The sequence below is a fragment of the Homo sapiens genome, chromosome 7 (genome assembly GCF_000001405.40).
Source record: "Homo sapiens chromosome 7, GRCh38.p14 Primary Assembly".
NCBI classification, from domain to species: Eukaryota; Metazoa; Chordata; class Mammalia; order Primates; family Hominidae; genus Homo; species Homo sapiens.
Window position 1 is genome coordinate 101,265,261 of NC_000007.14, and position 25,878 is coordinate 101,291,138.

General features: G+C 49.2%; 2 pseudogenes, besides 3 other annotated features; both read right to left on the minus strand.

The window, feature by feature from the left end:
* Window positions 725-902: a silencer, noted in NCBI's record as "fragment chr7:100909266-100909443 (GRCh37/hg19 assembly coordinates)". NCBI's record gives its function as "represses an EF-1alpha promoter that drives an FKBP-Casp9 reporter gene in an ReSE screen in HepG2 liver carcinoma cells {active_cell/tissue: HepG2}" and the evidence as "EXISTENCE:reporter gene assay evidence [ECO:0000049][PMID:32094911]".
* RNU6-1104P (RNA, U6 small nuclear 1104, pseudogene) lies at window positions 4,681-4,781 on the minus strand (annotated as a pseudogene).
* On the minus strand, window positions 22,219-24,515 carry AZGP1P2 (AZGP1 pseudogene 2; annotated as a pseudogene).
* Window positions 24,624-25,174: an enhancer, noted in NCBI's record as "H3K27ac-H3K4me1 hESC enhancer chr7:100933165-100933715 (GRCh37/hg19 assembly coordinates)". NCBI's record gives its function as "activates a minimal SCP1, AML or CMV promoter by ChIP-STARR-seq in primed H9 embryonic stem cells {active_cell/tissue: H9 hESC(primed)}" and the evidence as "EXISTENCE:reporter gene assay evidence [ECO:0000049][PMID:30033119]".
* Window positions 25,309-25,418: an enhancer, noted in NCBI's record as "active region_26406". NCBI's record gives its function as "activates an Ori minimal core promoter by ATAC-STARR-seq in GM12878 lymphoblastoid cells {active_cell/tissue: GM12878}" and the evidence as "EXISTENCE:reporter gene assay evidence [ECO:0000049][PMID:35858748]".

The following is a 25,878-nucleotide window of genomic DNA, read 5'->3' on the forward strand; positions in this document are numbered from 1 at the left end:
CCCTCTTTATAAAAATACATAAAATTAGCCCGATGTGGTGGTGCATGCTCGTAGTCCCAGCTACTGAGGAGGCTGAGGTGGGAGCATTTCTTGAACCTGGGAAGTTGAGGTTGCAGTGGACTGTGATCATGCTGCTGCACTCCAGCCTGGGGGACAGAGCAAGACCCTGTCTCAAAAAAACAAATAAATAAATAAAGCAATTATTATAATATGATGGTCAAAGTGTTCTTATTCAGTTAGCCTCTCACCAGAGCTTAGCGGAAGGGTCTTCAACTCCAGACTGCAAGTTAAGGAAAAGTTTTGAAGAGGTAATGGCAGAAATGAGTTTTTTTCTGTTTTTGTTTTTTTGTTTGTTTTTGAGACGGGATCTCGCTGTGTTCCCCCAGGCTGGAGTACGGTGTTGCAATCATAGCTCACTGCAGCCTGGAACTCCTGGGCTCATGTGATCCTCCCATCTCAGCCTCCCAAGTAGCTGGGACTACAGGTGCACCACCACACCCAGCTAATTTTTTAATTTTTTTGTAGAGACAGTGTCTTGCTATGTTGCCCAGGCTGGTCTCAACCTCCTGGGCTCAAGCGATCCTTTCTCCTCGGCCTCCCACAATGTTGAGATTAGAGTTGTGAGCCACCATGCCCACCTAGGGTGATATTCTGGTTTTTTTTTGTTTTGTTTTTGAGATGGAGTTTCACTGTTGTCATCCAGGCTGGAGTGCAGTGATACAGTGGCGCAATCTTGGCTCACTGCAACCTCCGCCTCCTGGGTTCAAACGATTCTCGGGATTACAGGCATGAGCCACCGCGCCTGGCGTCCATATCTCGGAAAATTTTCGATCTGTGGTTGGCTGAATCCATGCATGGGGAACCTGCAGCTATAAGGGTCAACTGTATTGGCCTCGTCAGTCAGGAAGTGGTCCTTCTTCTGTTTTCTGGAGATTACGTGTAATTAGTGTCGATATTTCTTTAACTATGAGTAGACTTCTCCAGTGAAACTATCTGGGTCTGGAGATATCTTTTTCAAGAGTGGGAGGAAAGAGTTAATACAACAGGTCTGTTTCCCCCCTTTCTCACTTATCTCTGTAGCCAAGGTGATGGCTGTTTGTCAAACTCTGAAAACCAAACTTCTGGAATATTCACATAGTTACTGGTTCAGATGTTATTCTCCATGGCCAAAACAGTGAGCCCAGATGAACCAGGCTGTCAGCAGATTTAAAGTAAACATAAAGATTCATGATACTTGGCCAGGTGCAGTGGCTCATGCCCGTAATCCCAGAATTTTGGGAGGCCAAGGCGGGCGGGATTGCTTGAGGTTAGGAGTTCAAAACCAGGCTGGCCAGCATGGGAAAAACCTGTCTCTACTGAAAATACAAAAAATTAGCTGAACATGGTGGTGAACGCCTGTAATCTCAGCTACTTGGGAGGCTGGGGCAGGAGGATCACTTGAACCTGGGAGACAGAGGTTGCAGTGAGCCAAGATCACACCACTGCACTCCAGCCTTGGTGACAGAGCGAGACTCCGTCTCAAAAAAAAAAAAAAAAAAAAAAAAAAAGAAGAAGCAGCAGCTACAGTAAGCTATGATCATGCCACTGCACTCCAGCCTGGGTGACATAGTGAGACCCCATTTCTAAAAAAAAAGAAAAAAAGATTCATGATGCCCAACCTGTGGTTAAGGGCTGTGTTTGGTCACATGGCAGGAATGTTGCCCAGGCTGGAATGCAATGTCGCGATCTCAGCTCACTGCAACCTCCGCCCCCTGGGTACAAGCTATCCTTCCGCCTCAGTCTCCTGAATAGCTGAGAATGCAGGCGTGTGCCACCACACCTGGCTAATTTTTTTATATTTTTAGTAGAAACGGGGTTTCACCATGTTGGCCAGGCTGCTCTCAACCTCCTGACCTCAGGTGATCTGCCCTCCTCAGCCTCCCAAAGTACTAGGATTACAGGCACGAGCCATCACGCCCATCCCACAAATGTTTTAATTTTTTTTTTTTTCCAGATGGAGTCTCACTCTTGTCACCTAGGCCGGAGCACAGTGGCGTGGCCTTGGCTCACTGCAACCTCTGCCTCGCGGGTTCATGCGATTCTTCTGTCTCAGCCTCGCGAGTAGCTGGGATTACAGGAGCCCACCACTATGCCTGGCTAATTTTTTTTTTTTTTGAGACGGAGTCTCGCTCTGTCGCCCAGGCTGGAGTGCAGTGGCGCGATCACAGCTCACTGCAAGCTCTGCTTCCCGGGTTCACGCCATTCTCCTGCCTCAGCCTCCCGAGTAGCTGGGACTATAGGCGCCTGCCACCATGCCCGGCTAATTTTTTTTGTATTTTTAGTAGAGACGGGGTTTCACCGTGTTAGCCAGGATGGTCTCGATCTCCTGACCTCGTGATCCGCCTGCCTCGGCCTCCCAAAGTGCTGGGATTACAGGTGTGAGCCACCGCGCCCGGCCCCTGCTAATATTTTTGTATTTTTAGTAGAGACAGGTTTTCACCATATTGGCCAGGCTGGTCTGGAACTCCCGACCTCAGGTGATCCGCCTGCCTTGGCCTCCCAAAGTGCTGGGATTACAGGCGTGAGCTACCACGCCCAGCCTAATTTTTTTTTTCTTTTTAATAAAGACGAGGTCTCACCATGTTGCCCAGGCTGGTCTCAAACTCCCGGACTCAAGCAATCCTCCCACCTCGGCCTCCCAAAGTGCTGGGATTACAGGGGTGAGCCACTGCGACTGGCCTGACCACACAAATTTTGACACCAGAACTCAAGTGGAATTTCCTGGGCAAGGACATCTCACACAAGTCCTTGCAGTTTGCTCCTGGAAAAGATATGTCTGTGCATTCCTGCAGAGAGAGGATAAAAAAGTGTGCATTTGACCTCTCCAGCCTTCATCTATTAATACCCTTTTTCCTGCTGTTCTTGTATTGTATCCTCCGCTGTAATATATCTTCACCTAGAGCATAACTTTATCTGCAGTCACGTGGGTCCTTCCAGGGAATCACCAAACTAGCTGTATGTGACCACGAAGACAAGAAATTGTTTTATTAAAACTATGAATTCAAGGCCAGGTGCAGTGGCTCAGGCCTATAATCCTAACACTTTGGGAGGCTGAGGTGGGTGGGTCACCTGAGGTCAGGAGTTTGAGACCAGCCTGGTCAACATGGTGAAACCCTGTCTCTACTAAAAATACAAAAAATTAGGATTACAGGTGGTGGGCTCCTGTAATCCCAGCTACTCAGGAGGGTGAGGTGGGAGAATCGCTTGAACCTGGATGGCAGAGGTTGCAGTGAGCCGAGATCGTGCCACTGCACTCCAGCCTGGGTGATGGAGTGAGTCACCATCTCAAAAAAAAAGGGGAATTCAGCTGGGCATGGTGGCTCACACCTGTAATCTTAACACTTTGGGAGGCAAGGCAAGTGGATTGCTTGACCCCAGGAGTTGGAGGCCAGCCTGGGCAACTTGGCAAAACCCCATGTCCACAAAAAATAAAAAAATTAGCTGAGTGTGGTGGTGGGCGGCTGTAGTCCCAGCTACTCAGGAGGCTGAGGTGGGAGGATCACCTGAGCCCAGGAATTCAAGGCTGCAGGGAGCCGTGTTTATGCCACTGCACTCCAGTGTCGGTGACAAAGTGAGACGCAGTCTCGAAATGAAATAAAATAAAATAAAAAACCATGAATTCCATTTTTAAAATTGTTACAAGACTTTAAAAATTATGTTTCATATTGAGTGTTTTTTGGTAGTTTGTAGTTTTCAAGAAATTGGTCCATTTCTTCCAGCTTGTTGGATTTATATGGGTAGAGTTGCTTGGTATCCTTACTATCCTTTTATCAGTTTTTCTGGGTTTTTTTTTTTTTTTTTTGAGATGGAGTCTCGCTCTGTCACCCAGGCTGGAATACAATGGTGCAATTTTAGCTCACTGCAACCTCCACCTTCCTGAAGCGATTCTAGTGCCTTGGCCTCCCGAGTACCTGGGTTTACAGGCGCCCGCCACCACACCTGGCTAATTTTAGTATTTTTAGTAGAGACAGCGTTTCACCATATTGCCCAGGCTGGTCTTGAACTCCTGACCTCAGATGATCCACCCACCTCGGCCTCCCAAAGTGCTGCGATTACAGGCATGAGCCATCGCACCTGGCCTTGTTTTTTTGTTTTGTTTTGAGGTTTTGAGATGTAGTTTCACTCTTGTTGCCCAGGCTAGAGTGCCATGGCACGGATCTCGGCTTACTGCAATCTCCGCCTCCCAGGTTCAAGCGATTCTCCTACCTCAGCCTCCCAAGTAGCTGGGAGTACAGGCATGCACCACCTCGCCTGGCCCTCTTTTTTAAAGACAGAGTCTCACTCTGTTGCCCAGGCTGGTGTGGAGTGATATGATCTCAGCTCATTGCAGCGTCTGCCTCCCGGACTCAAGTGATCCTCCTACCTCCAGCCTCCCGAGTAGCTGGGACTAAAGGCGTGTACCGCCATGCCTGGCTAAGTTTTGTATTTTTATTTTTATTTATTGTTTTATGGGGGCTACAGCGGCAGGTGGCAAGGCGCCACGCCTGAGTGGGGATGGCGAGATTGTTCTCCAATCGCCAACCTCAATGGTGCAACGGGAGACGGACATGGGAAGGCTATGACGTCACGGGCCCTGTGACGTTATGGCAGGATACGGGGAAGGGAAGCAAAGCGAGGTAACGGGCAGCGGACTATAGCAAGAATATGGAATGCATCGCGAATCTGTGTGTCATCCTTGCGCTGGGGCCATGCTAATCTCTGTATCGTTCCAATTTTAGTATATGTGCTGCCAAAGCAAGCACAATTTTTGTATTTTTTGTAGAGACAGGGTCTTGCCATGTCACCGAGGCTGGTGGCAAACTCCTGAATTGAAGTGATTCGACCGCCTCGGCCTCCCAGAGTGCTGGGATTACAGGCATGATTCACAGCACCTACCCTCAAATGGATATTTTAAAACAAAAATACAACAACAAAAATTTAAAACTCACTGGATGGACTCAGTAACAATATGAAGGTGAGGAAGAGTCAGTAGACAAAGGTGGATTGATAGAAAACACTCAAACTAGCTGGTCACGGTGGCTCACGCCTGCAATCCCTGCACTTTGGGAGGCTGAGGTGGATGGATCATTTGAGGTCAAGAGTTCGAGACCAGCCTGGCCAACATGGCGAAACCCCGTCTCTAGTAAAAATGCAAAATTAGCTGGGCGTGGTGGTGCACACCTGTAATCCCAGCTACTCGGGGGGCTGAGGCAGGAGAATTGCTTCAACCTGGGAGGTGGAGGTTGTGGTAAGCCAAGGTCGTACCATTGCACTCCAGCCTGGGCAACGAGAGCAAAAAAAAAGAACAACAACAACAAAAAGAACCAAAACTGGGACTGGGCACGGTGGCTCACGTCTGTAATCCCAGGACTTTAGAAGGCAGAGGTGGGTGGATCACCTGAGGTCAGGAGGTTGAGACCAGCCTGGCCAACATGGTGAAACCCCATCTCCACTAAAAATACAAAAATTAGCCAGGTTTGGTGGTGAATGCCTGTAATTCCAGCTACTCGGGAAGCTGAGGCAGGAGAATTGCTTGAACCTGGGAGGCAGAGGTTGCAGTGAGCCGAGATCGTACCACTGCACTCCAGCCTAGGTGACAGAGCAAGACTAGCATCTCAAAAAAAAAAAAAAAAAAAAAAAAAACCGGAAAGAAAAGAAAAAGATCAATGGGATTACTTGGCGTATTTCTGTTTCTTTCAGGGAGATTTATCTGAAGAAAGAGAAAGGATTATTTCAGTATTCTCTGAAAAGCTTATTTTGAAAAGAGCCCTAGATCTTATACATAATTTCCTCATGATTCTCCAGAATTCTAAAAAGGGAAGCACATTGTTAATGTTATATATTTTTTTCATAGGGCTATTTTTAGACTGGACAGAATAGCAGAATAGTTTGTGTTTTGTGTGGACTTCAGAGTACATTGAAGCCTGTAAAATAACCACTCTTGTTACACATCTATATCCAAAGTCATATGACTCCAAGCATAGTATGACCCTTGTATATTACTAAAGACTACCCTATTGTTATGGTTTTGCCTTTTTTTTTTTTTTTTTGAGACGGAGCTTTGCTCTTGTTGCCCAGGCTGGAGTGCAGTGGCATGATCTCGGCTCACTGCAACCTCCGCCTCCCGGTTCAAGCGATTCTCCTGCTTCAGCCTCCCAAGTAACTGGGACTACAGGAGAGTGCCACCATGCCTGGCTAATTTTTGGATTTTTAGTAGAGACGGGGTTTCGCCATATTGGTCAGGCTGGTCTTCAACTCCTGACCTCAGATGATCCTCCCGCCTCGGCCTCCCAAAGTGCTGGGATTATAGGCGTGAACCACCACGCCTGGCCATGTTTTTGCTTTTATGATGTGTTTATTATAATTAGAATTCGATGCTGCTGCAGGATATGAGTAATTATTAAGAGAAAATATGACTTTTTAACAAAGCAGTTCCAGGAATACATTGTAGAGAAAAAAGATGACTACTTAAAATAGGGCTATTGTTAAAATGTTATCTATATTAAGGAACCTTCGTGAGATCCCCGACATCATTGTGAACACAACCTTTTGTGATTATGTTACATGATTTTTCCTTCATCCTTTTTCATTTTATCTAAGTTCTTGGCCATGCAGACACAACTGACAACACTTAACCCCTTTTGAAGACATTTTTCAATCTCTAAGTGACTACTAACTCTAACATATCTATCTTGTTTTTACCACAGCATTTTGAAAAATCAGAGTAGGCTGGGCACAGTGGCTCACGTCTGTAATCCCAGCACTTTAGCGGGCTGAGGCGGGCGGATCTCCTGAGGTCAAGAGTTCGAGACCAGCCTGGCGAACATGGTGAAACCCCATCTTTACTAAAAATACAAAAATTAGCCGGGCATGGTGGCGGGTGCCTATAATCCGAGCTACTCAGGAGGCTGAGGCAGGAGAATCACTTGAACAGCCCGGGAGGTGGGGTTTGCAGTGAGCTGACATCACACCATTGCACTCCAGCCTGGGTGACAGAGCAAGACTGTCTCAAAATAAAAAAAAAATAAAATAAATAAAGAAAATAAAAATCTGATTAATAGGGAAAATCTATATGTATATTTAGAAAAAAATGCTTTTCAGGACTGCGCGCAGTGGCTCACGCCTGCAATCCCCGCACTTTGGGAGGCTGAGGCAGGTGGATCACCTGAGGCCGGGAGTTTGAGACCAACCTGACCAACACGGAGAAACCCTGTCTCTACTAAAAATACAAAATTAATCGGGCACGGTGGTGCATGCCTGTAATCCCAACTACTTGGGAAGCCTGAGGCAGGAGAATTGCTTGAACCCGGGAGGCGGACATTGTGGTGAGCAGAGATCGCGCCATTGCACTCCAGCCTGGGCAACAAGAGCGAAACTGCATCTCAAAGAAAAAGAAAAAATGCTTTTCAAATTTTTGCATTTCTGACAACTAGACGTCCCCACCTGCCAACCAGTCTTGTGGCCCCCACCCAGGATCTGACTCAGCCCAAGAGGACAGCTTTAATTCCCTGTGATTTCATCTCCTCCACCCAACCAATCAACAGGCCCCCTACCCTAGCCCCTGCCCACCAAACTATCTTGGAAAAATCCCTAATCTCCAAGCCATTGGCAAGATTGATTTGAATAACATCTCCACCTCCCGCGTGGCATAGCTGGCTTCGCATCAATGAAACTCTTTAATGCCATGGTCTTGAGTGGACTTTGTTTATGTGGCAGTCAGGAAGAACCCCTTGGGCCATTACAAACATGGGGACATTGTGGAGAACCATTTTAGGGACCCCATCCCATTGAGTGCCACGAATACAGAAAAAATCCATGATCCCATTTACATGTTTTAGAAGTGAGAGAAACTCCAAATAAGATATGGCCAAGTTGTGCAACAGAATTTAGAATTTATTCAATATTACAGTGTTTGTATCACAGAGAACATCTTTGTCATTTATATAGGCAATTTTCCCTGGGGCTTCCATGCTATTGAACACTGTAACATTTATTTTGGAGAGAATCCCTGGGGATGGGGGAGGCATTGTCAACATTCCAATGCAGCATCAGCTAATTCAGATGCAACAAAGACTCTATCAATGCAGAAACGTGCAAAGAGCTTTCGGGAAAGTACAGCTCATTCAACATCGGAGAATTCACAATGGAGGAAAATCATATGTGCGTAATGGATGTAAAAATGCTTTGAGATGGTGCCCAGAGCTAATCAGACATCTGGGATTTTGTAGCAGAGAGAGGCCTTGTGAGTATAATGGATGAGGAAGAACCTTCAATCAGAGTTCCATACTTAGACAATATCAGCTAATTCAGTTGGGACTTAAAATGGTCATACGTAATGAAGACGGAAAACTCGGGGAAGCGTGGAGAATACGGAATGTGAGATCATCCACACTGGAGAGAAGCCTCGGGAGTATAATTAGTGTGGAAAATCACTTGGGGACAAGCTTAGCTTTTTCATCATTGGAGAATTCACACAAAAAAAGGAATGAGCTTGGACAGATCGTGGGAGAACTTTCAGGCACTAATCAGGCCAATTCATCCCCGAGAAAAACCTTGATGACGAAGAAGGGGAAAAAGTCTTCCAGTTTTTTTCCTTATTGGATTTCACAGAATCCTCAGTGATATATAGAGAAACTTGCTGGAGGAGTTCAGGGTTTATTAATATTCACATTAAAGCATTAATCCCATTAAAGTAGGGGTTTAAACTTTTTTACTTCTTTCACCCCAATCAAAGCTTTCATTCCTTACATCTCTATTGAGTGAATGAAGCAACAGGCAAACATCAATGGTGCATTGGCTTTGCCCTTCAAAACGTCATACAAGCCGGGTGTGGTGGCTCATGCCTGTAATTCCAGCACTTTGGGAGGCTGAAGCGGGTGGATCACGAGGTCAGGAGCTCGAGACCAGCCTGGCCAACATAGTGAAACCCTGTCTCTACTAAAAATACAAAAATTAGCCGGGCATGGTGGCACATGCCTATAGTCCCAGCTACTCAGGAGGCTGAGGCAGGAAAATCTCTTGAACCCAGGAGGCGGAGGTTGTGGTGAGCCGAGATCATGCCTCTGCACTCCAGCCTGGGCAACAGAGCGAGACTCCATCTCAAAAAAAAAAAACAAAAAAACAAAAAATCATACAATATGTGGGGTGCAGGACAGTATTGAGAGGTGCTGGGTTTGGTGCCAGAATCTGGCAGTTGCAAATTCTAATATCATCGCAACACACGCGTGGGTGGGCCCCATATATCTGATGAACTTCCAGGGGCCACATCTCTACAAATGCTGAAGATTATTTGGAGATGGGAAAATGGGGCTGGGGGTGCTTTTTCTCCAGGTCTGAGAAAAATGAAGTAATGTGTATTTCTTTCTTTCTTTTTTTTTTTTTGAGACAGAGTCTTGCTCTGTCACCCAGGCTGGAGTGCAGTAGCACGATCTTGGCTCACCGCAAGCTCCACCTCCCGGGTTCACGCCATTCTCCTGCCTCAGCCTCCCCAGTAGCTGGGACTACAGGCGCCCGCCACCACGCTCAGCTAATTTTTTGTATTTTTAGTAGAGACAGCGTTTCACCGTGTTAGCCAGGATGGTCTTGATCTCCTGACCTCGTGATCCGCCCACGTAGGCCTCCCAAAGTGCTGGGATTACAGGCGTGAGCCACCGCGCCTGGCCAGTAATGTGTATTTCAAAGATACATTAGGAGGATGCCAGTTTATCTTTGTTTTATATTTTCAAAAACAGAGATTTAAAGAGGACGGGCTAGAGCTCTTGCATTCAGCTTCTCATTTCATAAGGGAAGAATCAGGCATATGTCTTGTGTTGAAGCAACACACACACACACACACACACACACACACACACACACACACAACGCGTTGTTTGGCGAAAGTCGGACCAGAAGAAAGCTTTCTCTAATCCTCATCAACTGATTGCTTCTCTCCTACCAGCCTCGTTCCTTGTCCTTGGACCAGCATTCTAAGTCTTCCAAAATACATTCTTGCCTCTCCCTACAGTAACTCTCCCATTGAGTTCTTAATAGAGGTGAGTTAGGTTTTGCAGATTTCTGGCTCCTCGCTCTGCTTAGAGAAGCCAGAAAGAGGCCGGGCACGGTGGCTGATGCCTGAAATCCCAGCATTTTGGGAGGCTGAGGCAGGTGGATCACGAGGTTAGGAGTTCAAGACCAGCCTGACCAACATGGTGAAACTCCGTCTCTACTAAAAATACAAAAATTAGCTGGGTGTGATGGTGCATGCCTGTAATTCCAGCTGCTCAGGAGACTGAGGCAGGAGAATCACTTGAACCCGGGAGGCGGAGGTTGCAGTAAGCCAAGATTGTGCCATTGCACTCCAGCCTAGGCGACAGTGAGACAAAAAAAAAAAAAAAAAAAAAAAAAAAAAAAAAGAAGATGTCTGGAACTTTCCCAGATATCTCTTTCTTTCCTTGTCTGTGTCCCCTAGGCCTTGGGGTTAGGACTCAGAGCTGGGATTCCTCTGTAGGCAAGGACCAATCCTGATTCTTATTCCTTCCATATAAGCAATAATTCCATTTCTAATGTCTAAACTTAGGTTGATTTTCCACTGGGAGTTATAGCAAGAGCCACGGGTTTCTGAGAAGGGGTGAGGGATGCTTTAGGCTGCAATAGCAGAAATCTGCCTAGAAAATAAAGACACGTGACTTACAGATCAGAGACTGGAAGTGGGGGGTCCAGGATAGGTATGGTGGCTCAACGCTCTCATAGAGGACGTAGGCTCTGCCATCCTTAGTGTGTGGGCTTTTCCCCTTGGTCTTGTTGCCTCATGGTCTCAAGATGGTCCAGATCCCAGCCATCTCCCCATACTTTTGTTGTTGTTGTTGTTGTTGAGACAAAGTCTCACTCTATTGCCCAGGCTGGAATGTAGTGGCGTGATCTCAGCTCACTGCAACCTCTGCTGCCCGGGTTCAAGTGATTCTCCTGCCTCAGCCACCCAAGTAGCTGGGATTACAGGCACCTGCCACTGCGCCCAGCTAATTTTTGTTGTTTTTTTGTTTGTTTTTGTTTTTTGGAGACGGAGTGTTACTCTGTCACTCAGGCTAGAGTGCAGTGGCGCCATCCCGGCTCACTGCACCTCCGCCTCCGAGGTTCAAGTGATTCTCCAGCCTCATCCTCCTGAGTAGCTGGGATTACAGTCATGTGCCACCATGCCCTGCTAATTTTGTATATTTAGTAGAGACGGGGTTTCACCATGTTAGCCAGGCTGATCTCGAACTCCCGGCCTCAGGTGATCCGCCCACCTCGGCCTCCCAAAGTGCTGGGATTACAGGCGTGAGCCACCTCTCCTGGCAAGTGGGACGGCATGCTGCATGGGCCGGGAATCCCCATATGTTTCACCAGCACAGCTAAGTCATCTGCCCACTTTTAAGCCAACTGACAGCCAAGGGAACGAGCGGCAAACTGGCAGCAGTGACACCCACAGGCAGAAGGCAGCCCAGGGTTGGCTTGTCTCGGCCTTTTGTGGAGTCCCAACTCTGTTGTCACCCTCTCCTCCTTTATCCTCTTGCCAAAGCCAAGCTCATTTTCCCTCCACAATGAGGGGATTTTCTCCATGGTATAGCTGATTTTGGTTTTGCTTCAACGGCCAAGTTTCTTCTCCAGTGTAATTTCGGCCAGCACACTGGTCCGACCAGGCCCTACTTGCCCTCAGGACATCTTGTGGCTTACTAATTCTACTGTCTGCTTTTTCCGCCCCAGTTTCCAAAAGGGAATTGGCTGGCCTGGGTGACTTCCCTAAATTTTTGAGCCAGATGACTTCAAAAATCATTGGCCAGCCTATATGGGATCCTGGTCCAGTGAACTGTATATTTGGGGACTTGGTGGGTGGAAGAGAGGCAGGGTCACATGGTGTCACACAGCTGCCTGGGCAGCGGTTTCCATGGAGGGGCCAGGGGTAGCACAGGTGATGGTGCAATGGCCTAGGGCATCCATAGAGGGTTCTCAGAGCCCAATAACTGTACTAGACAACAAGGCTGCTCTGTCGGGAAGAGAGACCAAGTGGAAGAACATGAGGCACCAGTCACGTGACTGCAAAAGCCACTTTGGACATTTCAGCCCCAATAGCTGCTGCGAGAACAGGAGGCCTCAGACATAGTGGAGCAGAAATAAACCAGAATACAAGACTCACGAAACTGAGGGCATCATCACATTCTTGAGTCCGAACGGCCTCAAGGCTTCCATGGCTCGAGAACGTCCCCCAGTTCCCACAGCAGAAATTCCAGTGCCTGTGGGTAGAAAACTTGAGTTCCCTCATGAACATGGCTTTAATAGGGATTGGAAGTGTTTCTTGCCTACTAGACTTAGGATCTTGGGAAACTTTTTGGCTTTGACAGGCTGAAGAAGGGACTGTGGAGGTAGGACTATTTCTTTCTTATTCTTTTTCCTTTCTTTCTTTTTTTTTTTTTTTTGAGACGGAGTCTCGCTCTATCACCCAGGCTGGAGTGCAGTGGCACGATCTCAGCTCACTGCAACCTCCATCTCCCAGGTTCAAGCAATTCCAGGCAGGACTATTTCAAGATAGCCATGTAACAGACAGAAAACGGGCTGGTTCTTCCAGCAAATGGAATTTTAAAATTCCTCAATGGGGCCGGGCGCGGTGGCTGACACCTGTAATCCCAGCATTTTGGGAGGCCAAGGCGGGCGGATCTTGAGGTCAGGAGATCGAGACCATCCTGGCTAACATGGTGAAACCCCATCTCTACTAAACATACAAAAAATTACCTGGGCATAGTGGTACGCACCTGTAGTCCCAGCTACTTGGGAGGCTGAGGCAGGAGGAGAATCGCTTGAACCCGGGAGGTGGAGGTTGTAGTGAGCCGAGTTCATGCCACTGCACTCCAGCCTGGGAGACAGAGCAAGACTCCGTCTCAAAAAAAAAAAAAAATTAGCCAGGTATGGTGATGTGTGCCTGTAGTCCCAGCTACTCAGGAAGCTGAGATGGGAGGATCACTTGAGCCCAGGAGGTCAAGGCTGCAGTGAATTATAATCATGCCACTGCATTCCAGCCTGGGCAACAGAGCAAGACCCCATCTCTTAAAAAAAAAGAAAGTTACCACTTTGGGGAAATTGCAGACTCTAAGCCTAAACTCTACTGGCCCGATACACATGGCAAAATATTTGGTCAGGATTCTGGAAGAATATCAAAGAATTCACAGGGCAGAGGAAAGCTTTGAATATTATGAATGAGGGAAAATTTCCATTCATCTCATAATTCATACTAGAGAGACTCCCAATGAATGGCACCAGCGGAGGAAAATCCTCAGACGGAGGCAAGCAGTTATCGGAGATGCGAAAATCACAGGGGAGGACGTGGCACAGAATAGCGTGGAACCCACGTCACAGCTTGCGCCCAAGAGCATCACACGGGAGAGAACCTGCGTCCTCAATGAACGGCGTTCCAAAAAAGCACAACCGCACCAAGCATCAGATAAGCCATTCTGAGCTCAGTCTTTGGAATGTAATGAATTGGGGGTGGTGATCATTTGAGAAGAAATCAGCCCTTATTCATCAGCTGATGATTCCCACTGGAGAGAGGGCGGGTGCTCGTCACGGATGACGAAGCTCTGGGGGTGCTCCGATCACATATAACACAAGAGGCTGCAGAGGGGACCCAAGGGGGGCTGTCAGGGGGCCTCAGGGTACACGTGACATAAAACGGTTACAAGAGGAAAACATGATGAAAAGGGCAAATTTAGAAAGTGATTTCAGGCTGGGCACTGTGGCTCGCACCTGTAATCCCAGAACTTTGGGAGGCTGAGGTGCGGCGGGGCAGGGGAATCACTTGAGGCCAGGAGTTCAAGACAAGCCTGGGCAACATAGCAAGACCCCATCTCTACCAAAAATCAAACATAAATCAATAAAACATTTTTAAAAGCTTTTCTTTTTTGGAACTTGTCCTGTTAGCACCAGCAATGGCTGTGGGGAATGCAGACACCCTTTGGGGGAGTTTGCTCAGATGACACAGTCGTGCACATGTGATCCTTGGGGCAACTCACAGGGGTGCCCTAATGCCATGTACAAGAATCCAGGCCCAGGCCAGGCGCCGTGGCTCACGCCTGTAATCCAGCATTTTGGGAGGCTGAGGCGGGCAGATCACCTGAGGCCAGGTGTTCCAGACCAGCCTGGCCAACATGTTGAAACCCCGTCTCTACTAAAAATACAAAAATTAGCCATGCATGGTGGTGTGTGCCTGTAGTCCCAGATACTTGGGAGGCTGAAGCAGGAGAATCACTTGAACCCAGGAGGCAGAGGCGGAGGTTGCAGTGAGCCGAGATCACACCACTGCACTCCAGCCTGGGTGACAGAGTGAGAATCTGTCTCAAAAAAAAAAAAAAAGAGGCTCGTGGCCTCTGGGGAACACGCCCCATGAGAAACTGTGGTGGTGGCTGCTTCGTTCATTCCTTCATTCTTTTCATATCTTTGGAGCATCTGTTCTGTGCCTGGCACTACTCTGTGGGGGGATAGAGGACAGGGCAACCTTGGGGGTCAGAGGAGGGTCAGGGAAGTAGCAGCTGCTATTTCAGATTACAGGTGTGTGTGTGTCCCAAGGTTCCAGAGGGGAGGGAGCTTAGGTGGGGGCTCTGGGAAAGAGGGAGGAAGACCCTGATCTAATGACTGCCTACCACGTGTCAGGCTGGCAGGCGATGTCTCACAGCAACCCTGCAAGCTTGGTCCTGTTTTCTGCACTTTGCAAATGGAGAAAATAAGGCACATGTACAGCTGGTAAGTGGTAGAGTCGGTACTGAGACTGGGTTGGCCTCACTCCAAATCCCATTTCTCTTATTTATTTATTTATTTTTAATTTTTATTTTTTTCTGAGATGGAGTCTTGCTCTGTCACCCAGGCTGGAGTGCAGTGGCGTGATCTTGGCTCACTGCAACCTCCGCCTCCTGGGTTGAAGGATTCTCCTGCCTCAGCCTCCCAAGTAGCTTGGCTTACAGGTGTGTGCCACCAAGCCTGGCTAATTTTTGTATTTTTAGTAGAGACGGGTTTCACCATATTGTCCAGGCTGGTCTCAAACTCCTGACCCTCATGATCCACCCGCTTCGGCCTCCCAAAGTGCTGGGATTACAGGCATGAGCCACTGTGCCTGGCCTCTTTTTTTTTTTTAATTTTTTAGAGACAGGGTCTCACTCTGTCACCCAGGCTGGAGTGCACTGGCGTGATCACGGCTCACTGCAGCTTCAACCTTCTGGGTTCAAGCTATCCTCCTGCCTCAGCTTCCCGAGCAGCTGGGATTACAGGCATGCACCACCACACCTGGCTAATCTTTGTTTTTTGTAGAGATGGGGGTCTTACTATGTTTCCCAGGCTGGCCTCAAACTCCTGGCCTCAAGCAATCCTCCTGCCTCAGCCTCCTAAAGTGTTAGGATTACAGGTGTGTGCCACCGTGCCTGGCCCAAATCCCATTTCTTTCCACCATCACAAGGAACAGAACTAGTCCTTCAGCAGCACTGTTCCCTGGGATGTGTCTGCAGAGGCTTGGGAGACAATGAGAGGCACCCAGTGAACAGGGAGGAAAGGGGGTGGAAGGACATGTACTGGCTTTTGCAGACCCTCCTCAGGGAACAGTGAACACATTCATTCCTTCATTCACACATTTAGTCAGTTTTTTGCAGCAACAGGATCTCGTTCTGTCAGCCTGGCTGGAGTACAGTGGCACAATCATAGCTCACTGCACCCTTGAGCTCCTGGGTTCAAGCGACTGTCCCACCCTTGGCCTCCTGAGTAGCTAGGACTACAGGCCACGCCACCACACTTAGCTAAGTTTTTAATATTTTGAAGAGATGGGGTCTCACTATGTTGCCCAGGCTGGTCTCAAACTTCTGGCCTCAAGCGATCCTCCCACCATGGCCTCCCAAAGTGCTGAGATTACAGGTGTGAGCCACTGTACCTGGCCATATTTAGTAAAATCCTTACTGAGCCCTATGGGGTGCCAAGCACAGCGTCGAGGTGCTGGGGATATGCATGCGTGAGGCTGACACGTGCTTACCCTCATGGGGCTTCCATCTGAGAAGGCAGGCAGGCACTCCAGCACGCTAAGTGGTGTGACAGGGGCTCATTGGGCCCCATGGAAGCTCAGAGAATGACATAACACAGACTCGCAGCGTGGAGGGAGACTTCTGGGAAGAGATAACTCCTTATGAAAGGCTGGGAAGGCCAGGTGGGGTGGCTCATGCCTGTAATCCCAGCACTTTGGAAGGCCGAGGCGGGCAGATCATGAGATCGAGATCGAGACAATCCTGGCCAACATGGTGAAACCCCGTCTTCACTAAAAATACAAAAATTAGCTGGGTGTGGTGGCGCACACCTGTAGTACCAGCTACTCAGGAGGCTGAGGCAGGAGAATCGCTTGAACCTGGGAGGCAGAGGTTGCAGTGAGCAGAGATTGTGCCACTCTGCCCTTCAGCCTGGGCCACAGAGTGAGACTCCATTTTTTTTAAGAGAAAAGAAAAGAAAAGAAAAAAGGAAAGAAGGAAGGAAGGAAGAAAGGAAGGAAGGAAGGAAGGAAGGAAGGAAGGAAGGAAGAAAGAAAGAAAGAAAGAAAGAAAGAAAGAAAGAAAGAAAGAAAGAAAGAAAGAGAAAGAAAGAAAGAAAGAAAATGCTGGGAAGAGCCTTCTGGAAAGGTGCATGCAGGAGGGTCTGCTGGTGGCAGAGCTGAGTGATCGCAAACGCAGCTGACATGAGCCCAGTGCTGTCTGGTAACAGTATGTGGGGTGGCGGGTGGCAAGGAAAAAGGCCGGAAGCGAGACCAGGGCATCCGGGGCCCAACAGGCCTTATAAGGAGTTCAGACTGGGTCCTAGGCAATGATGGGAAACCGGTGAAGGGTGTGAAGCTGGGGGTGATGACCCGTGAAGCCCGAGGCTGCAACACAAGGGGAGAGCTGTCCAAAGGTTCGCCAAATTCTGGCCGGGCGCGACGGCTCACGCCTGTAATCCCAGCACTTTGGGAGGTGGAGGCTGGTGTATCACCTGAGGTCAGGAGTTCGCGACCAGCCTGGCCAAGGTGGTGAAACCCCATCTCTACTAAAAATACAAAAATTAGTTGGGCATGGTGGCGCATGCCTGTAGTCCCAAATACTCGGGAAGCTGAGGCAGGAGAATCGCTTGAACCTGGGAGGCGGAGGTTGCAGTGAGCTGAGATCGCACCACTGCACTGCACTCCAGCCTGGCGACAGGGCGAGAATCTGTCTCCAAAACAAACAAACAAACAAAAAAACAATCAGCCAGGCATGGTGGTGGGTGCCTGTAATCCCAGCTACTTGGCTGAGGCACGAGAATCGCTTGAACCCAGGAGGCAGAGGTTGCAGTGAGGCGAGATTACACCATTGCACTCCAGCCTGGGCAACAGAGCAAGACTCCATCTCAAAACAAAAACAAAACAAAAAAACAAAAGAAAAAGCTGTACGCAGGAAGGTCTGTGGGTGGCAGAGGTGAGTGATCGTAATCGCAGCTGACATAAGCCCACTGCTGTCCAAAAACAGAGGCTGTGGGGTGGCAGGCGGCAGGGAAGGAGGCTGGAAGCTGGACCAGGGCATCCTGGGCCCGACAGGCCTTATGGGTCCTGGGCAATGATGGGATATTGGTGAAGAGTGTGAGGCTGGGGGCGATGGCCTGTGAAGCTGGAGGCTGCAACACAAGGGCAGAGCTGTCCAGAGATTTGCCAAATTCGGGCAGAACGATGCAAGAGTGAGCATGTGAGTTCTGTCTTTTTTCCCTCATGAACCAAGGTTTCCAAGAGGCGCACTGAGCAGTGAGCAGGAAAGCTAGGAGCGACTAAGGGTGATCCGAGTGGGAGCTGCCAGCACCAGGTGCCAGAGCTGCGGTTTCCAGCTTTGGGGCCAACGTTCTTAAGCACACATCCCCCTCTTGTGGTCGAGAGCGGTATTGCCGCTGAAGAGAAAGGCTAGAGACCTCCTCCAGGTTCTCATCCTGAAAACCCCAAGGTATAGGCCAGGGGCTGCATCTACGTTGTGAACCCCACGAGATTTCCCACTTCTTTTTAAGAAAGATCTGATTGCTGGGCGCGGTGGCTCATGCCTGAAATCCCAGCACTTTGGGAGGCCGAGGCGGGCGGATCACAAGGTCAGGAGATCGAGACCATCCTGGCTAACACGGTGAAACCCCGTTTTTACTAAAAATACAAAAAATTAGCCGGGCGTGGTGGCGGGCGCCTGTAGTCCCAGCTACTCGGGAGGCTGAGGCAGGAGAATGGCGTGTACCCGGGAGGCAGAGTTTGCAGCGAGCCGAGACTGCGCCACTGCACTGCAGCCTGGGCGACAGAGCGAGACTCCGTCTCAAAAAAAAAGAAAAAGAAAAATCTGTTTTAGGCCGGGTGCGGTGGCTCACGCCTGTAATCCCAGCACTTTGGGAGTCCGTGGCGGGCGGATCATTTGATGTCAAGAGTTCGAGAGCAGCCTGGCCAATATGGTGAAACCCCGTCTCTACTAAAAATACAAAAATTAGCCGGGTGTGGTGGCGGGCGCCTGTAATCCCAGCTACTCTAGAGGCTGAGGCAGGAGAATTGCTCGAACCCGGGAGGCAGAGGTTGCAGTGACCTGAGATCGCACCATTGCACTCCAGCCTCTCCATAGACTCCATCTCAAAAAAAAAAAAAAAAAAAAAAAAAAAAAAAAAATTCTGATTAATGGGGAAAATCTCCATGTATGTATACTTAGAAAAAAATGCTAGAAAGACACTGAAACGTTACCAGAAATTCTTTCAAGAATATGTGACTAATTTTTTTCACTTTCTTTATATGTATTTCAAAATGTTCTATTTCATGCCTGACTTTTGTTGATAAGACAAAAAATGTATTATGATTTAAAAAAAAAGAAAGGCCGGGTGCGGTGGCTCACGCCTGTAATCCCAGCACTTTGGGAGGATGAGGCGGATGGATCACGAGGTCAGCAAATCGAGACCATCCTGGCTAACACAGTGAAACCCTGTCTCTAATAAAAATAGAAAAAAATTTAGCTGGGCGTCGGGGCGGGCGCCTGTAGTCCCAGCTACTTGGGAGGCTGAGGCAGGAGAATGGCGTGAACCCGGGAGGCAGAGCTTGCAGTGAGCCGAGATGGCGCCACTGCACTCCAGCCTGCGCGACAGAGCGAGACTTCGTCTCAAAATAAATAAATAAAATAAAGAATAAAATAAAGAAAAAAAAAAAAAAGAAAAGAGGCCAGGTGCGGTGGCTCACGCCTGTAATCTCAGCACCTTGGGAGGCCGAGGCGGGTGCATCACGAGGTCAGGAGTTTGAGACCAGCCTGAACAACATGATGAAATCCCATCTCTCTACTAAAAATACAAAAATGAGTCAGGCTTGGTGGCGCGCGCCTATAATCCCAGCTATTTAGAGGCTAAGGCAGAAGAATTGCTTGAACCCGGGAGGCAGAGGTTGCAGTGAGCCGAGATCGCGCCATTGCACTCCAGCCTGGGCAACAGAGCAAGACTGCTCAAAAAAAAAAAAAAAATTTGGCTGGGCGCGGTGGCTCAGGCCTGTAATCCCAGCACTTTGGGAGGTCGAGGCGGGCAGATCACCTGAGATCAGGAGTTCGAGACCAGCCTGACCAACATGGAGAAACCCAGTCTCTACTAAAAGTACAAAATTAGCCGGGCATGGTGGCACATGCCTGTAATCCCAGCTATTCCGGAGGCTGAGGCAGGAGAACCACTTGAACCCAGGAGGCAGAGGTTGTGGTGAGCCGATTGCCCCATTGCACTTCAGCTTGGGCAACAAGAGCGAAACTCCCCCCCCAACCCCCGCCCCCCAAAAAAAAGAAAGAAAGAAAGAAAGAAAAGAGACCAGGCATGGTGGCTCATGCTTGTAGTCTCAGCACTTTGGGAGGCCGAGTGGGGAAGATGTTGTGAGGCCAGGAGTTTGAGACCAGCATGGACAACATAGCCAGATCCATGTCTCAAAAAAAAAAAAAGAAAAAAAGAAAGAAAGAAAAAGAAAAGAAAAAGAAAAAAGAGCAGAAGTGACAGACAAGTGGCCCGAGAGGGGACTAAGGTGGAGGCAGGTCCTGGTGAGGAGCCGCTGCCTAGCCATCTCCCGCACTCTTCCAAACCTGGTGGTGACAACACCACGCCAGGCTTCCCGAAGGACACCCTCCCCGTGTGCCTCTCCAGACACATCCTTCGTGTCCCTTCAGCTCACACATATGTGGCCTCTCTCGGCCATGACCTTGGCAGTCCCTGCCCCTAGGCCTTTTTCTCACGTGCTCCCCTTCCCCTCAAAGTCAAAGCCCTCTGACCTGGTCACACTGGTGGGCCTGACCTCCAGTTCTGGGCGATCTAGAGGTCTATTTTTTTTTTTTTTTTTTTTTTTTTTTGTGAGACAGTCTTGCTCTGTTGCCCAGGCTGGAGCAACCTCCGCCTCCCAGGTTCAAGTGATTCTCCTGCCTCAGCCTCCCGAGTAGCTGGGATTACAGGCACGTGCCACCATGCCCGGCTCATTTTTGTATTTTTAGTAAAGACGGGGTTTTACCATGTTGGCCAGGCTGGTCTCGAACTCCTGACCTCAGGTGATCCGAGGTCACTTGGCCTTCCAAAGTGCTGGGATTACAAGCATCAGCCACCGTGCCCGACCTGATCACTTCTTTCTTCCTTTCTGGTGTTTGATATCTTTATCCCAAATCTCTAAATTCCCAAACTTCTTGCCCATTAGCCACAACTCTCAGAAATGGACCTCATAGGGCAGGGGACACAGCCTCTTTGTTCTGATGATAAAAGCAGGTGTTTACCCAGCACTGGTTGGTGCTGTTGGCATAGACTCTGAAAGCTCTCAAGCTGTCTGGGCTCACATCCCAGGTTTCTCCCCACCCCCACCTGGTGTGTTGCATGAACTGGAGCCAGTCACCTCCCTGGGCCTCTATTTCCTCAGCTCTGAAACAGCAATGCGAACAGCACGGTTTCAGGGGGCTATTCTGGAGCATTATATATGCTCATAGATGGGCCTGGCACAAAGTAAGTGCTCAGTAAATGTCAGCTACTCTTATTTCCTAATACCCTGTATTCATCTCTTCATCCTCCTTCCTCGTAATTATCCACTTTGCCATTTCTATTCCTGTCCATCAAAGCTTCTCCCAGTGTCTTTCCTGATCACTTGTGCCCCCTCCTCTCCTACTGCTGACACGCACCCCGGGCCATTTTCCTTACCAAGACCTCCTATCCCTCATCCTTCAAATGTCTGCTTATCTCTTGCCTCCTTTGGGAAACCTTCAGATCCCATGTAGCACCTTGGGCATTTTTGTACTTAGAAGCCCATCTTTTGACACCCACTCCATGATAATTTAACACCAGCAGTTCACCAGGCCTGGGGTTGGCTGCCTTGGGGCTGGCAGTGTGGTTTAGGAGAAAGAACGCTGGGCCGGGGGCAGGGGGACCATCTCTGCACGGGGTCTGCCACCAGCTCCTCCGACCACAGTGCAGGTGGCCCTTCCTGGGTCTGCATCTTATGGTGAGGAGGAACTTTAGGGCTGCAGGGATCTCTAACAGCCTGTGGTTTTGAATGCAGCACTTCCTGAGCCCCCAGCATGGGCTACGGTGTGTGCTGCGTGCTTTTCTCTGTTCATTCCACAAATTTCAATTGAGCCAATATTGGCTGTACCCTGTCCTAGGTGATGGGGCTGCAAGGGAGATCAGGACAGACTGTGACATCCTTCATAGAACAGACATAGTTAAATATTACAGACTTGTTTGGAGGTAGGTCTCAGTGCTCCAATGTTTGCAGATTTTGACCAGATATTTTGGGAACATTTCACTGTCAACAGGTAGGACTGGCAGAGCCACCAGGTGAGCCCAGGTCTGAGTGACTTTGAGAGTGGCTCACTCTCCAGGCACCCTCCCTGGACAGGGGTGAGTCTGATGCCTTCTCGTGGGGAGATCAGCCTCCGACGGGTGGGGTGTGGAGGTGATAGGTCAGAGGTGCCTGGATAGGAAGTGACTCTGCCATCACTTCCTGTGTGAGCTGAGGCCTGGGATGAGGATGGGGCAATCGATGGGGAAGTGGGGAGCACTGTGCTGTGGGGTGGGCGGGATGCGGACATATCTGTGTTTCTGCTGTGTCTCCTGTTCCTCCTCTGGGATTGGGACTATTTCCATCCTGCTGACCCCTTGCCACTCACACTTGGGGGGCTGCCTCTTGGGTTAGACCTTCCACCCCCGCGGTCTGTTGTTCACTGACCGTTACTGTCATTGTAATACTCCATGATGTTGTTCAGGGTCTCCATAAAGATGTCCTCCCTGGCCTTCTGAACTTGGCTCTGCTTCTCCCAGTCCTCTACTCCTTCCACGTGTCTCCATGGTCCCAGGGGCTCAGGCTTCCTGTCTTCACTGTTGTAGTGGAAGAAGGCACGGCCATTGAGGAAGACAGTACCCTGCAGCCTGTGGGTGCCTTTGCCAGGCCTGGACAGCCCAGTGTAGAGATAGGTCAGAGAGTAATGACCTGCAAAAGAAAAGACTCTGAGGGCTGGGGTCCATGCAAGGGTGTCCCATTGTGGGGCTGCAGAGGGCCAGGAGGGGAGGCCTGGCCACTGGCCTCTTCCTCCCCAGCTCTCTCCTCTGCCATCAGCTTCACACCATTGGAGCCTCACTCAAGGAAACAGGCTCTACTTTCATGCTGGGGATGATATTTCAGAGACCATTCTGTGTCTTCACTACAGAAGTTAATCTGCTTGGCACAGAAGAAGATAACATTTCTCAGCCTCCTTATAGATAGATTGGAACCATACGACTGAGCTTTGTCAAACAAGAATGTGACTGGAAGTGACTGATGTCTTTCTTCTGGTCCAAGACCCTACCACCTGGCTTTCCCCTACTGTCTCTTATCCCTTTTGTTGATGACTATGGAGACCACAGGATGAAACAGAAGAGTCCCAAGATGCAAACAGCCCGGATCCCTGAGTCACCCTGTGGAGGAGAGGAACCTTGCCCAATCTGCATTGAACTTAACATGAGAAATAAACATTTCTAGTCTAACCGGACAAATACATATAGTTAGAAAGTGTAGGGAGGTGGATTTACTAGAAAACTCAAGAAGTGACCTAGAATGGATCAGCATAGGGTAAGGCTAGGAGACCTCTCGGAATTCCTGGCATTGTACCTTGCAGTTTGGTACAAGATGGAAGTTGAGAGAGTGGGACATTTCCACAATTAGTTCCATAGTTAATTTAGAATATAATTTACACGAGTGTTAGTAACGTTGGAGGTCATATGGCAGATTTCTAATTTAAGTACTGAAGTCATTCTTGCTCATGAATTTCTGAATGTGATTAGCTTTTAAATCAGTAGACCCTGAGTAAAACAGATTACCCTCTACAGTGTGGGTGAGCCTCATCTAATCAGTGGAAGGCATCAAGAGAAAAGGCTGAGGTCCCCCAGAGAAGAAAGAATTTTGCTTCCAGACTACCCTTGGACTCAGGACCGCAACACCAACTCTTTCCTGGGTCTCCAGCCTGCTGGCTTGCTTTGCTGATTTAGGACTTTTAGCCCTCAGAATTGTATGAGCCACAAGAAATATTAAATAAAACTCCTCCCTTTCTCTCTTTTGTATACACACACACGTATATAATTAGTGTATATACACAGTGTATATTCATATATACATATATGCATGTGTATACAATGTATATTAGTTTTGTTTCTCTGGAGAACCCCGAATAATTAAGATTTTGGTGCAGAATGGGATTAATATTGTAAATGTGATTATTATAAAACTAACATGAAACACCTATTCTGACAACTTGTAAATGTCATAAATTTTTAACTCACACAACTGAGAAGCCATTCGCTTCCATGTCTTTATCCTGCACATTCTCATGCCACAGCCTCCTTCCCCTATCCTAGAAGTGACTCTTGATCTCCCCAAGCTCCCACTGTCTTCTTTTCGGGCCACTAGCCTTCCAGACCCACTGCAGTGGTGTCTGAGTGTGGGATTTGGGCACGGGTTTCCTTCTAGCACCATCCCTCCAGCCGACCTCCCTTCCCACTTTCCCCTTGGGGCTGCTCTCTCTTTCCCTCAGCGTCAGGCAGGTGTACCCAGCCATCGGAAGGAGGGAAGGAACAGGAGCAGAAGCAGCTCCAGGCATGTGGTTCCTGCTCCGTCCTGGCTCTCCACCCCAAGCAGGTCGCTTGGTCTTTGGAGTCTTTGTTTTCACGTAAACTAAGGGGTTTTAGATTCAGATTCCTGAAGGTCTTATTTTGGGTGAGGGCAGAGGCTCCCTGAATGCTCCTGGAAGTGTGTGAGCTGAGGGAGTTGACAGCCTTGGGCACCCGTTCCTGCCGTATACCAGGGAATCCCAGCTGCATCCAGCCCTTCTCCCAGCCATATGTCCTGTTCCTCACCTCCTTCCAGTCCTCTCCAGCATCCATCCTTTGCTTTCCCTACTCACCATCTTGGGTCTCCTGGGGGATAGCAGGACCCAGAAGGTGCAGCAGAGACAGCAGGACAGGCACCATTCTTACCATTGTGTCTGCTTGGAGGGTTCTGGGCCGGAGGCACAGGTATTATCCTGGGTCCTGGGGCCATGCCCAGGGGAGGTGAATCTACAGGCCAATGGGAGTACCAGGCCGGGCTCCTCCCCTGACAGTAAGAAAGAAGTATGCACAAGCCAGGCTGGGCAGAGATTGTGACCAGTGAGTCTATACACAGGATATGCAAATTCAGAGCTGAGACAGTTGATCTCTGGACTGAGGCTTTGTGTGTGCCTGGGGCGGAAGGATGCCAGTGTGTGGGAGGTGTGTGTGATGGGTGGCAGGTGCCTGGGATGTGTCGCCCTTCCAGTCTATTATGACACCCTCTGGGGTCACTTGGGTGTTGTCAGACCACACTTCATCTCTGCCTTCTGGAAAAAGCCTCAACATGTCCAGGACGTGGACCTGGGTAGACCCCAGCTGGGGTGGGACCCTCACTCTCCTCCCACACCCGATCCTGCCAGAGCTGTCTGGAGGACATTCCCATTCCCATCTCTCCCTCTTTCCTTTAGGTGCCTGTGGAATCCCAGCCTTCCATGATGGAAGCAGAAATAGCCGCATCCTCCTTTTGCAGCCTCCCTGGCAATAGAAGGAGCAGGTGTGCACAGGGTTTATGCTCAGCAAGCCGAAGCTACTGCCTTGGATATCGGGTCAAGTGTTAGGGAAACAAAGAGGGGGGCACAGTGGACAATGTTTTCTGGTGGTCTTGGCAGGGGTTGCAACTGCCAGCTCCCGGGGCAGTGGGGCTGCAGTAGCTGCGGGGGGCGTCTTGAGCTTCAGTCCCCCGGGATGTTGTAGATCCCGTGCTGTGGCCTCTGCTGCCCCCTGCTGGCAGCTTCTGTGTGTTTACCAGGCCGGTTGCTGGTGTGATTTTGACTGTTGCGCTCCTCTGGAATTCTGAGCCTGGGTTCTCCATCCTTTCTGTGGATTCTGAGAGCTAACCAATAAATACGTTTATTTTCTGCTTAAGGTCAGAACTGCGTCAGAACTGCATGACGTTTCTAGTAACAAATGCTCCTGGCGGATGCGGAGATTGGTACAAGGATTGTTTCCAGGCAGTAGTTACTCAGGGAAATGGAGGGCTGGGAAGCTGAGATTGGTTACGGGGCCAGATTGGGGCTGAACGCAGTGAAAACACAGGGGTCTTGGGGGATCCTGGCAGGCCTGGTGTGCAGTGATAACTTCAACAGTTGGCTGAGGTATCTGTTGTGGTAGATTGGAATGAAGTACCCATTGAAGGTGCTGACTTAAAAAAAAGTCACAAAGCCAGGCGCGGTGGCTTAAGCCTCTAATCCCAGCACTTTGGGAGGCTGAGGTGGGCGGATCACAAGGTCAGGAGTTCGAGACTAGCCTAGCCAATATGGTGAA